At 51.7% G+C, this 14,039-nt stretch overlaps 1 pseudogene, besides 1 other annotated feature; it reads left to right on the top strand.

Annotated features, from left to right (window-relative positions):
• Positions 347-1,038: an enhancer, noted in NCBI's record as "H3K4me1 hESC enhancer chr1:22651838-22652529 (GRCh37/hg19 assembly coordinates)". NCBI's record gives its function as "activates a minimal SCP1, AML or CMV promoter by ChIP-STARR-seq in naive H9 embryonic stem cells {active_cell/tissue: H9 hESC(naive)}" and the evidence as "EXISTENCE:reporter gene assay evidence [ECO:0000049][PMID:30033119]".
• On the top strand, positions 3,010-3,742 carry PPIAP34 (peptidylprolyl isomerase A pseudogene 34; annotated as a pseudogene).

Here is a 14,039-nt window from a genome sequence, read left to right as displayed (position 1 = left end):
CACTGCTGGCTGCCTTAGGTGGAGAGAAGACATCAGGCCTCAGAATGTCTGAGCTGGAGGGGGCCTTGGGAAGTGTCTAGCCACAGATGTGAAAGTAGAGGCCCAGACAGGGAAGGGGCTTGCCCAGCCAGCATGGAGGGCCTGAGTCTGCTGTGGCTCATGCCCCACACTCCAGCTGGAGGGGCTGCGGTGGGACTCCCTTTCTCTCTGTAGCAGGCTGGGCCAGTTGAACCCATGCTGGGATTCAGAGTCTGGCTGATGGTGGCCCTGCTGGGTCCTCTCTGGTGAAGATTCACAGAGGGAGGGAGGAGCTGGGCACTTGAGGTCAAGAATGAGGGAGATGAGCGTGACAGGGGGAAAAGGGGGAAAAGGTATGTCCTCCACCTTGGTTTTGAGTCTTGTTGAGAAAAGGACAGGGAAAGATGCGGCCCAAGTCATTGTCATGGAGACCATGCAAGACCCAGGGCCCTGGAAGGGCTGCCTTAGGGCCCAGGTGACAGTTTGCAAACTGGAGTTGGCCTAAGCCCACTGCTTGACCACCTCCATGGTGATGTGGCAAACATGGCACCTCCATGGCCATGACAAACGTGGCACCTGGAAGCTCAGGGTGACCAGGGTGGAGGGTGGCCACACCTGGTGCAGCGTTTTTGCAGGCGCGCCTGTGGCCAATGCAGTCACCAGGCATCTCACCAAGAAGTGGAGAAAACTCCCGGCTGGGGTTTGGACACCACTTGGGGAGGCGCCGGGAGTAACTGGCCTTCTGGCTGGGGCTGGGGAGGGGTGTTTGGAGGGGATGAGGTCTAAGAAACTTCTTCATCTGGATATTAACATAAGTGTGACCTGGGTACCTACAGGCTGGTGAGGCCTGGGCACAGCAGAATTCCAGTGAGTTGCCATCCTCCTGCATTCAGCAGCAGGGCCAGAAGCTCCAGGTCTGCTGGGGGGCCCCTCCACTCAGGAAGAACACACCTCCTTTGCCCCCTGGAACTGTGTTGGGAGTTTTCACAACCTGAGGGGGTTGGTGTTGGTTCCATTTTTGAGATAAGGAAACTGAATCTCCTAGGCTACTGTGCAAGTGACCTCACGTGTGACTTTCCTTTCTTCTCAACAAGGTTGTGCTTTCTCTAGAAGCTGTTCATGGTGGAATTTCTAATGTTGCAACAGACTAACAGCAGAGGACGTTGCTGGGCTATTTGGGCTCCTGGGGGCACCCACAGCTTCAGCTGAGCACCAGTAAAGAGTACCAGCTTCCTTTGCAGCCCCCCATTCTACCCCCATCAGTGACTGTGGGAACCACGGATGTGGGGTGTTTTCCTACATGATTTCATCTTCCTGAGGACCATTCTACACAGAATGGGCTGCCCCCAGGGAGGCCCAGTCACTTCCCATCCCCGCTATTCTTGGGCAGTAAGATGCCAAAGTCAGTTCAGTCAACATCTCGCACACAAGACTGGTACAACCGTGACATTCTGACCTGACTTAACCCCGGACAGTGAACCAGGCACTTTCCTCTTCCAGGCCATTATTCTTTCTAATCCCCTTTGGGCAACCTCTCTGAGCCTCAGTTTTCCCTGCTGTAAAATGGGGATTCATAGAGACAACACCTCATAGGCCTGTTATCTTTCTCCAAGGCCTGACTTTGTCACTGAACAAACTCAGAGACAGAGGTTCAGCTGGGTGCGGTGGCTCACACTTATAATCCCAGCACTTTGGGAGGCTGAGGCAAGTGGATCATTTGAGGTCAGGAGTTCAAGACCAGCCTGGCCAACATGGCAAGACCCCATCTCTACTAAAAATACAAAAAATTAGCTGGGTGTGGTGGTGGGCACCTGTAGTCGCAGCTACTCAGGAGGCTGAAGCAGGAGAATGGCATGAACCCGGGAGGCGGAGGTTGCAGTGAGCCAAGATCGTGTCACTGCACTCCAGCCTGGGTAACAGAGCAAGACTCGGTCTCAAAGAAAAAAAAAAAAAAGATATGGAGATTCACTTGCTTCTTATCCTGCGAGCTCCCACCCAAGTACCCTGTGGGCTTCCCATCCAAGCCAGGGCCACCAGCAACCCACAAGAGACCATGCAGCTCTCCGGACCCGGATCCTGATACCTTTACTTACCCAATTACTTACCATGACCTCAGAAAAGTCCCGTAGCCTCTAAGTGCCTCAGTTTCCACATGTGTAGAATGGGGACAGTAACAGTACCCACCTCATAGGATGAAATGAAACTCAGCCCAGGGCCTAGTTCTCAATTGCTACATAATACATGGCAAACTTGAGTGCAACTGGGAAGCACAGTGAGTATGGGGAATGGAAAGTGTTTCATCCCCGGGGAGGCCACATCAATCTCACTTTATTAGATCATAAGTGCTTTTAACAAGGCAAACAGCAGAAGGCCAGCAGCCCGCCAGCCAGAGCCAAGAACTGAAATCCAGTTCTCCAAGACCCCGGACATCAAAACAACAATGCAAAAGGCTGAACATCAAAGAATGAACAGCAAGTCCAAACATTTCACTGTGCTCTTATCTTAATTAAAGCAAGTCATACTCAGAGTTTTGGATGACACAAGTTGAAAAGCGGGGTCTGGTTTTATTAGCTTTTGCTGACACCCACAGAGAAGTCTGTGACTTACCCAAGGTCACCCAGCACCCTGGGGCCAGAGTTGGGGTCCAAAACCAGGCCTCAGCTGCTGGAGCCGGCGCGCCTTTCATAACCTCCCTGCCCCCACCCTAACCTGAGCTACAGGGACCCAGGGTTGTCATTTCAGGGGAGAGGTCTCCGTTCATTCATCCAGCTATATATTGAATCATGTTTATTGAAGGTCTTCTGCTTTCTAGGCACTGTTCTAGGCTCTGGGGATACAGCAATGAACAAGACAATCTAAACGGTTGGGGAAAGCAGACATCAGTAAATAATTACGTAGATAATCATAGTCACACGTTACATAATGACGTTTTGGTCAACACTGCACCGCATATATGACCATGGTCCCATAAGATGATAATGGTGCATTCGCTTTGCAGACACTGCCACCGCCGGGAGCCCCGTACTATCAGCCATGGTCAACCCCACTGTGTTCATTGATGGTGAGTCCTTGGGCCACGTCTCCTTCAAGCTGTCTGCAGACAAGTTTCCAAAGACAGCAGAAAACTTTCGTGCTATGAGCACTGGAGAGAAAGGATTTGGTTATAAGGGTTCCTGCTTTCACAGAATTATTCCAGGGTTTATGTGTCGGGGTGGTGACTTCACGCACCATAATGGCACTGGTGGCAAGTCCGTCCACCAGGAGAAATTTGATGATGAGAACTTCATCCTAAAACATACAGGTCCTGGCATCTTGTCCACGGCAAATGCTGGACCCAACACAAATTGTTCCTGGTTTTTCATCTCCATTGCGAAGACTGAGAGTTTGGATGGCCAGCACGTGGTCTTTGGCAATATGAAAGAAGGCATGAATGTTGTGGAGGCCATGGAGCCCTTTGGGTTCAGGAATGGCAAGACCAGCAAGAAGATCACCATTGCTGACTGTGGACAACTCCAACAAATTTGACTTGTGTTTTATCTTAAACACCAGACCATTCCTTCTGTAGCTCAGGAGAGCACCCCACCACCCCTTTTGCTCTCCATATTCTAGAATCTTTGTGCTCTGGCTCAGTTCCCTTTGAGTTCCATGTTTTCCTTCTTCCCTTCTATACTTAGCTGGATTGCAGAGTTAAGTTTATGGTTATGAAATTAAAACTAAATAACAAAAAAAGATTATAATGGTGCTAAAAAATTCCTATCACCTAGTGACGCCCTAGCAATGCAACTCATGACCTTTTCCATATTTAGATACACAAATACTTGCCATTGTGTTACAATTGCCTACAGTATTCTATACAATAACATGCAATAAAGGTTTGTAGCCTGGGAGCACTAGGCTAAGCCATAGAGACCAGGAGTGTGGTATGGTGTACCATCTAGGTTTGTGTAAATGCACTCTATGGTGTTTGCACAATGACAAAATTGCCTGGGGATATGCATTTCTTAGAACGTATCCCCATCATTACACGAGGCACGGCTGTATTTTGTTGCAATTATAAATGCTATTTCTTATGTCCCTTCTCTCTGAATCTGGGCTTGACTGACAGATTTCAATGGAAGTGTTTGCTGTAATGCTTTCCAGGCCCAAAGCTACTTTCCCTTCTCCTGGGATGCTCACTTCTGAAACCCAGCAGCCATGGTATAAGGAAGCCCAAGCCGCCCCGTGGAGAGAACCAGGTGGGGAGAAAGCAGTCAAGCCAGTCACCACTGCAGAGGGGAACCCCCAGGCCCTGTCAGCCACCCCCAGCTGCCGCCACCTACACTATGGGGAGGGGAGCGAGATCAGCTGGCTCTGCCCAGCCCTGCCCAAATTGCAAATTCATGAGCAAAACAAAGGATTGTTGTTTTGAAGCCATTCAGTTGCAGAGTGGTTTATTATGTAGCAATGGACAACTAGAGTGCCACCTTTTACCCTCGTGGGGTAGCATAGACCCAATTATGAGCCCCATTTTATAGACGAAGAAACTAAGGTTCAGAGAGGTAAAATGACGGGCTCAAGGTCAGACGGGTAACGAGTGGCAAGGCAAGATTAAATGACGTCAACTTCTGTGTTTTTTCCACACTACCCCTTTACTGTCAGCGCAACAGCATGGCGACCCGGAGGTTTCCATTAATGCCATTCTCACTCAAAAGCAGGAAACTCCAAAGGGGGATTCTTGGGCATGGCGAGGTGGCTTGGGGAGACAGTGGCTGAGCAGGGGAGCTTACAGCAGTCTTAGAGTCCTCCCGAGTGTACCAGGTAGATGGGAGTCTGCTCGTTGTTTTGTAAGGAGAGGCCACGGAGACCTTTTGAGATGAGCAAACACAGGCTCGTTTGTGTGTTGAAGGCCTCTGTTTCCCCTTTTGTGAAAGGGGGATGGGAAAACCACCCTTGTCCTGATCTAGCCGGTGCTGGAGATGAGCGGGCCCCTTGTCAGCTGCTAGCATTCCATTTTGAAAGAAGTGAGTAATAGCGGAGACTCCCACAATGAGAATTTTTAATGCAAGAAAGTCCGTGGTAGGCAAGAGGGAGAGGGCAAAGCCCGTTCCTGAAAGCTTTGTAAGCAAAGCCCCTGCCAAACTGTGTTGCTTCTGAGGCCAGAAGCAGCATGAAAGATCCAACCGGGGAGGGAGGCAGGGGCTCTGATTCTGGTCCCAGCTCTGATCTTGACCTACTGTGTGACCTTGGGCAAGTCACCGTCCCTCTTTGGTCCTTATATGTACAATGAGAGGATGGGCTGGCTGATCTGGAAGATCCTGACAGTGTCCAACAGGCAGGATGGACAAACCCGAAGAAACTGAGAAGCTTCTCTACCCTGCAGCCCCAAGAGCTTGCAGAATTTAGCAGTCAGTGAGGAATCAATCAGTCCCTTAGGCTGTTCTAGAGGCAGTGATGTAGGTGAGCTCCTCCAGGCAAATTCTTCTCCCCCTCCTCTCCCTCATTCCCCATTGTCATCATTATTATTTATTTGCCTTTCAAATGGGCCACCCGGAGCTCTTTATAAAGATAAAAATAGCATAATTCAAAGCCTCCACCAGCAACCCAATCCCATCTGGTGATGGAGGGTTGCAAACAATCGCTTTGTTCCTCCCAACTCTGACTCCTTCAGGGTCTTATAAAATGAGAGCACGCACTTTCAACATCTAATTGAAGATAATGAGGATGATGCCCATGCTGAGGGTGGTGGCTGTCATGTGCCAGCACGGGCTTTGTGTCAACAGGGTGTATAGCATGGTCTCATGTGATCTTCTCAATAACCCTACAATGTAGTCAACTATCATTACTTTTTTCTTTTCTTTTTTTCTTTGGAGACAGGGTCTTGCTCTGTCACTCAGGCTGGAGTGCAGTGGCATGATCATGGCTCACTGCAGCCTCATCCTCCCAGGCTCAAGTGATCCTCCCGAGGAGCTGAAACTGCAGGCATGCACCATCACAGCTGGGTAACTCTTTAGTTTTTTGTGGAGAGGGGGTCTCTGTTTCTTGTCCAGGCTGGTCCCAAACTCCTGAACTCAGAGGATCCACCCACTTCAGCTCCCAAAGTGCTGAGATTACAGGCATGAGCTGCCACATCCGCATCCCGTTACTACTTTTACACAGATGAAGAAATTGAGGCCTACAGAGGGAAAGTAACTTGTCCAGGATTGCAGAATTAGCGACTGGGATTCAGACCCAAGCATCCTGACTCCAGAGCCTCGATTCTGAATTATTAGGCTATTTTGCTTCCCAGCAGCATCAGCAACAACAACTACTACTATTACTATTACCCACTACTACTTCACTGAGCACTTATTGTGTGCTAGGCATGGAGCTCAGGGTTTTAATTCTGTTCTAGCAAATCCATGCTGCAGAACAAATCAATCCAAAGTTGATTAGAACAATAAGTTATACTTTTGTGTTCATGCATCGGTAATTTGGACAGGGCTCAGTGGAGACTACTCATCTCTGCCTCAGCTGGGATGATTCCAAATGCCTGGAAGAGCTGGGGCCTGGCTGGGTACCTCCCTCTCTCTCTTCCTGCAGGTCAGGGCCTCCACGTGGCCTCGCCAGCATGGAGTTCCCAGGGTCATCAGTTTCTTTTGTTTTTTCTTTTTTTTTTGAGACAGAGTTTCACTCTTGTTGCCCAGGCTGGAGTGCAATGGCATGATCTTGGCTCACCGCAACCTCTGCCTCCCAGGCTCAAGTGCCTCAGCCTCCCGAGTAGCTGGGATTACAGGTGTGCACCACCATGCCTAGCTAATTTTGCATTTTTAGTAGAGATGGGGTTTCTCCATGTTGGTCAGGCTGGTTTCAAACTCCCGACCTCAGGTGATCCGCCCGCCTCAGCCCCCAAAGTGCTGGGATTACAGGTGTGAGGGTTTATCCGTTTCTTACATGGTGGCTGGCGTCTCCTAGAGACTAACACAGAAGCAGCAAGGTCCTTCTGCCCTGGCCTTGGAGGGCAGCAGCGTCACTCCTGCTGCATTCTGTTGGCTACAGACGAACATAACGTGGGTCCAGATCCCAGGGGCACGGGAAGTGAATCCCCCCATCTCAGTAAGAAGCTTGTCAAAGCACTGATGGCCACCTTCAACTCGCCATGCTTATGTTCTCATTTAAGAACTTTTACAATGATCTATGGGATTCATTTATCCACTCACATCCATTGAGCACCTACCGTGTGCCCGACACTGCTGCAGGTCCTGGGAGAGAGCAATGAATGTGAATGTCATTACACTCACTTTACAGATGAGGCAATGGAGACTTGCAGGGGTCTCAGGGACCAGCCCTTTCCCTGTAGACCCTCACGAGTTCTTTACAGTGAGCCCATGAGGCTGGTACTGCGACGGCCAGCCTTGAAGTGGAGAAGCGGGATCCGCATGCTGGCCAGGCACTTGCTCAGCACCCCTTCCTTGCCTTAGTGAGTTCCAAGTCTGCACTTCACTGTGACAGGGATGCATGGGTCCCACTGGACTTGGGGGGCATCCTGCAGGAGGGGCCAGGCTTATGGAGAAGAAGCCCGCGGTGCTGTTCAAATGCCAGCCCTGATGCGAGCGAGGGAGGGAGGGTTGCCTGAGGGCGGGAAGCGGTGAGGGAGCCGGGATAATGGCCCAGCCTGAACCTGTCGCCACGGCAACCGCAGGGGCCGTCTGGAGCCAGCAGCCTGCCAGGCCTTGGCCCCACAAAGCCCGAGAGGGAGGCAGAGGGGGCGGACCTGGCGGGGCATAAATCAGGGAGTTCTATGCCCCTGACTCCGGGCAGACGATTTATGGGACTACTCCAAGCCCACGAGATGCACAGGGGAGAGCTGAGAGGGTCTCCCTGTTCCCACCGCCCCTGGGGCCCCTGCTTGGACTCGGATGCGTGTGCAGGGTGGGCAGGAAGAGGCCCCTCCAGGCCACCCTCAGAGCTGCTGGAGGCCCCTGCCCCCACCCATCCCATAAGACACCTCTGTGCCCACTGTACCAGCATGCGGCCCCCACGCCAACAGCAAAAGTCTCAAGAAAGAGATACCTCTAAATTCTTGAAATGCATGCTGATATTTTCTATCTTATTCTGTTCTATTCCTTTTTAAAAATGCTGGTCACAACTCACTAAATTAATGTCATGACTCATTCATAGTTTGTGACCTGCAGTTAGGTCAACACTGATCCAAAGGAAGCCAGAGGGGGAAACTGAGGCTCACCGACTCCCTCCTCTCACACACAACTGGAGCAGACTTATATGCATCAATCAGCTCCTCCAGTCTCCCCACACACCTGGCTCTGCCTCAGGGCCCAAGCTTGTTCCCCACCACCCATTGTAGTCATTCAAGATGGAACCAGCTTCCTTGGAAGGTAATGAGCTACCCATCTCTGAAGTCATCCAAACAAAAGTTGAATGACCACCTGCCGGGTGCTCCAGGGAATCCCGGCATCCCTTAGAGAGAGGCCAGACTAATGCCTCTGAGCCTATACGGGGTGGGAAGCAGGCAACGCTGACTACTTTGCCCACATAGCGGCTGAGCCATGGACAGGATGGGAGAGAGGCTGCAGGCCAGCCAGGCCCACTGGAGGGGGCTCAGAGCTTCAGGCTGGCTCAGATAGACAAGGGGCAAAGATAGCATCAAGAAGGTGAGTGTCCAAGGATGGTGGCTCACACCTGCAGTCTACCTCAGTACTTTGGGAGGCCGAGGCCAGAGGATCGTTTGAGCCCAGGAGTTCAAGGCTGCAGTGAGCTATGATTGCACCACTGCACTCCAGCCTGGGTGACAGATGAGACCCTGTCTCAAAAAAAGAAGGTGAGTATGCCTGGTGGGAGCCTGGCAGAGACAACAGGGGCCACTTAAGAGGTCCCAGCACCCAGCCCCCTTCCTCCTGGCCCCTTTGCATTACCCGCCCAGACCTGCAGGGGGCTGTGCCTTCCCTGGCTGGGCCCCTAGTCCTGGAACAATGTTCCCAGCCCCACAATCACTGTTTCTGCCCTATCTCCTGCCTCTCTCAGCTGTCTACCTCCAGAAACAAGTTCCTCTTACCAGGAGGTGCCGAGATGCTAAGAACGGCTGATGACTGTGTTTCCGCACAGCACAGAGGCCTGCTGCTCCAGATTCAGACAGACCCGGATCCCAGGCCCAGCTCTGCCACTCACCTGTGTGTGATCTTGAGCAAAAGCCTTGACCTCTCCCAGCCATTTTAGTCAATAACATGAGGCCATCATATCTACCTTGTGATCATTGATAAGGGAAGACATCCAGGGTATATTAAGTTAAAAGGGCAAATCTGTTCCCATGTTTGTTAAAAACAAAAACAAAAGCAAACCCCTTTATTTATATGTTCGCTATGCATGCAAAAGCTTGGAAGGAAATGCCCCAAACAGGTGGTAGAAGGGTCATGGAGAGGGAGAGGTGGATGATTTTCATTTCCTACTCTATACACTCTTTGAATTTTTTTTTTTTTTTTTTTTGAGACGGAGTCTTGCTCCGTCATTCAGGCTGGTGTGCAGTGGCGTGATCTCGGCATCTTGGCTCACGCAACCTCTGCCTCCCGAGTTCAAGCAATTCTTCTGCCTCAGCCTCCCGAGTAGCTGGGATTACAGGCACACACCACCACACCTGGCTAATTTTTGTATCTTTAGTAGAGACAGGGTTTCACCATCTTGGCCAGGCTGTCTCGATCTCCTGACCTCATGATCAGCCCGCCTCAGCCTCCCAAAGTGCTGGGATTACAGGCGTGAGCCGCAGCTCCCAGCCTGAAAAATTTTAAACCAATAAGCATGTACTAATTTTGTAACCAAAAAATTGAAATTAAAAACAATCCAACCCCAGCCCCATTCCTGCTGTGAGGACCTAAAGGGTAAATGCATACAGAAGGCTGGTGGTGGCGGGGGGTGGGAGACAGCCCAGCCCCCACCTTCTCATTCATTTTTTCTCTCCAGGGGTCTTGTTCATTCCCAGTTTGTGTTTTATAAACTGGTGAATTAAAGATGTATAAAGATGTATTAGTGTTATTCCAATTAATTGGACACCAATGACTCTCCTTCACCCCAGAAAGCATTTGTTGACCACTGTCCAGCATCCTGCAGGAGTGAACAGTGGAAATCCAAGCACAGAGGGACTTGCACCTCCATTTAGGGACCCCCACTCCCTTTAGGGACCCCTGGGGAAAAGGCAGTCTTTAAGCGTCACACCAGTCTGAAGAAGTGCATGCAGTTATGACGGCCATCTTACAGAGTGAGAAAGTGAGGTTCAGCGCTAACGCCTCGTCCAAGGTCAAAGGCTTGTGAGGGGCGGGGACGGGGGAGTCCAAGTCCTTCCCCCTCTGACTCCTGTGCCCAGGGCCTCGCAGGGCTTCCCTCAGACCAGGAAGTGGAGTGACTGCTCTGGGTGGCTGGAGAGCAGCACCAGCGTCAGAAGCCTGACATGGGGGGAGTGAAGCCAGTTCTGCCAGCCTCCTCCGCAGCAGGCCGACGCCGGGTCCTCTTGCTCATTTCATCTTCACCATGGCCCTCCATGCCCTCAGGGCCTCCGCACTGGCTGTTCCCTGGCCTGGAACGCTGTTTCACCAGATGTCTGAATTTTTTATTTTCTCAACATGCAGGTCTCAGTCCCAGAGGCTACTTCCTCAGAGAAGCCTGTTCTGACCATCCGGGCAGAATGAACGCCATCCACGTGTCCCCCAGGGACCTTGGCCAACCACCTACCGCTGTGTGTTCACTGCCTGCTCTGTTGGGCATTATCCGCTGCCTCGGGGCTTGCTCGTCACCATCTGCCTCCCTCTCTGAGTGTCAGTTGTGGAGCTGCACTCCATGTGTTTACAATGGCGCCTGCGCCACACAGTAGGCCCTCAGTAAAGACCTGACGGACACTGTTGCTGGTCCACCCACACCCCCGCAGCCTCCCCTTCCTGCGCACCCTGACTCCCAACACTCCCAACTGGCAGCACCTGCAATTCTCACCTAGGGACTTTTTGGCAGCCTGAGCCTGCCCTGTCCACACATTGGTCAGACCATAAGTGTCAGGGGTGGGTGTTCCCCAGGAGCACCCTTCGGGCAGGGACAGATGGAAGCTGGTGAAAAAGATCCCAGCTCCTTCCCCTAAGATGGGGTAACTCCGAGGCACGTTCCCCCGTCTCCCCGAGCACCCCCAAGGGACTGGGCCTCAGTTTCCCACATTGGAACCTGTTGTACATGCACACTGCCCTATGTTGACTCTCTCCCCTTTTCTTCTAGTGTCCTAGGGCTGCCGTAGCAAACTTCCACCAACGAGGTGGCTTAAAGCAACAGAAATGGACTCTCTCATAGCTGAGGAGGGTAGAAGTCTGAAATCAAGATGTTGGCAGCATTGGTTCCTTCTTGGGGACTCAGAGGGAGAATCTGTTCCGTGCCTCTCAACGTCTGGTGTTTGCTGGCAATCCTGGGTGCTCCTTGGCTCGTGTCAGCGTCATGCCGTCTCCCTCCATCGTCACATGGCGTCCCCCATGTGTGTCTCTATGCCTTCACGTGTCCCCCTACCCTCTCTGTGTGGCAATGAGCCCCAGTTCCCTTCATTCAATAAGGACACCGGTCACTGGATCAGGGCCTACACTAACCCAATATGACCGACCTCAACTTGATCACACCGGCATGACCCCATTCCTATGCTAACCCAATATGACTGACCTCAACTTGATCGCATCTGCAAGACCCTATTTCCAAGTACAGGGTCACATTCCCAGGTGTCAGAAGTTAGGACTCTTTTTGTGGGGGACACACGATTCGATTCACAATACCTTCCCTGTCTCAATCTCCTCTTCCCCAAGGTCCTTCCTGAGCTTCCCTTCCAAACTACTTCACTTCAATCCTTGTCTCCAGTCTGCTTCCGGGGAGGCCCAGCCAAAGACAAAATATCTGCGGAATACATGAATGCAGGAATGAATGATTCCTGGCAGAGGAGGAAGCTGAAATTCACAGAGATGACAGCCATTGCTCAGGGTATCCGAGCTGGGATTTTACCTCAATCCACCTGTTTCCAAAGCCCCCTAAGCAGAGAGACTATGGAGAGCTGCCTATTAATGGCATGATTGCTCTGAAAGGTAGTGAGTTCCCCAGCCGGGCACGGTGGCTCGTAATCCCAGCACTTTGGGAGCCTGAGGTGGGTGGATCACCTGAGGCCAGGAGTTCGAGACCAGCCTGGCCAATATGGTGAAACCCCATCTCTACTAAAAATACAAAAATTAGCCAGACGTGGTGGCAGGCACCTGTAGTCCTAGCTCCTGGGAGGCTGAGGCAAGAAAATTGCTTGAACCCGGGAGGTGGAGGTTGCAGTGAGCCGAGATGGCACCACTGCACTCCAGCCTGGGCAACAAAGTGAGACTCTGTCTCAAAAAAAAAAAAAAAGAAAGAAAGAAAGAAAAAAAGAAAGAAAAGAAAGGTAGTAGTGAGTTCCCCATCCCTGGAAGGCTGCAACCAGAGACTGCTCAGGGGATCCCTGCACAGGGCTGAGAGTTGGCTTGGGTGACTTCAAAGGCCCAACTGGCCCTGACGTCCGAGTCTACATTTTCAAAGCATGTGGTAAAACACCCAGGCCTCAGGGTCAGCAAGCAGAATAACCTTCCCCTGACCTCCCCAGAGCCTCTCAGCAAAGCCAAGTTTGTCCAGAATCAGCTTTAATTTGATGTCTCTTCTTCTCGTTTATTAAAGGGACACAAAAGAGAGAAAACCACTTGAATGGTCCCCCAGGCCGGCTGGCTATAAATGTCTTCATAGAAGGGCCCAGCCTGGACTTTGGTGCCCAGCAATTACGGCCTCCGTACACCCCGCCCAGATGACCAGCCTGAGGCACCTCTTTGGTCTTCTCCCTGCCCAGGCAGGTCACAGCCAGCAAGAGTCCCTCTAGGAGAGCAGGCCAATGAACCCAACGGGCCGGCCACCTAGCAACTCAAAAAGCACACCCAGCTACTCTTGCCCAGCACAGGGATAGCGTGGCTGTGGGGGGCATGTTCCCCCCAGTTCCCACAAGGGCACAGCAAGCTCAGCTGAGAGGGTGTGGAGGAGGGAGGGTCATGGGTGAGTTCTCGTACACAAAACACCCCTCACCTCTTCAGTTTCCATATGGGACTCCAGCCTTCCACAGAAGAGGGGTGGAAAGGGTTGGCTCCCCAATTTCCTCCTCAAGAGCTGTGCACAGCTCTCTGCTGCCTCATGAACAAAGCCCCAACCCCTAGTCTGGGAGAGAAAGAGATAGAGTTAGAGAGACCTAACAGAACAGAACAGCGGCGACAAGCACAGACTCTGGTTCAAATCCCAGCTTCCACGCTTCTGAGCTGTGTGGCTTCAGGCAACTCTGTGAACCCCTCTGAGCTTCTGGGTTCTCATTTGTTAGACGGGTTGATAATAATGGTACCTACTTCAAAAGGCTGTTGTAACTCTTAAATTTAGATTTAATCCATGAAAAGCCCCTAGCACAGTGCCTGCTACCAGGCACTACCCAATAAAAGCCGGGTTTAATACCCGTTGGGTACTTGCTATGTGTCCAGCACCACGTAGGGCACTCCAGACTGTCATAGTTTATCTTCATGATCACCTTGTGAAGTAGATGTTATTATTGTCCCCATTTTGCTGAGGACAACACTGAGATTTCAAGCAGTCAAGTAACCTCCCCACAGTCTCACAGGAAAAGGGTGGGGCTGGGATTTGGAACCTGGTTTCTCTGATTCTAGGAGCTGAAGTCTTGCAGGGATCCAGGCAGCTCCTGGATAGAAAAGGAAGGTCTGGCCGGGCGCCGTGGCTCACGCCTGTAATCCCAGCACTTTGGGAGGCTGAGGCAGGTGAATCACTCAAGGTCAGGAGTTCGAGACCAGCCGGGCCAACATGGTGAAACCCCGTCTCTAATAAAAATACAAAAATTAGCTGGGCATGGTGGCACATGCCTGTAATCCCAGCTACTTGGGAGGCTGAGGCATGAGAATCGCTTGAACCCGGGAGGCGGAGATTGCAGTGAGCCTTGAACCCGGGAGGCGGAGGTTGGGGTGAGCCAAGATCACACCACTGCA

Source organism: Homo sapiens, chromosome 1 (genome assembly GCF_000001405.40).
Source record: "Homo sapiens chromosome 1, GRCh38.p14 Primary Assembly".
Taxonomy (NCBI): domain Eukaryota; kingdom Metazoa; phylum Chordata; class Mammalia; order Primates; family Hominidae; genus Homo; species Homo sapiens.
The sequence above is the reverse complement of the archived record's forward strand: the minus strand, read 5'-3'. Positions and strand labels throughout refer to the sequence as shown.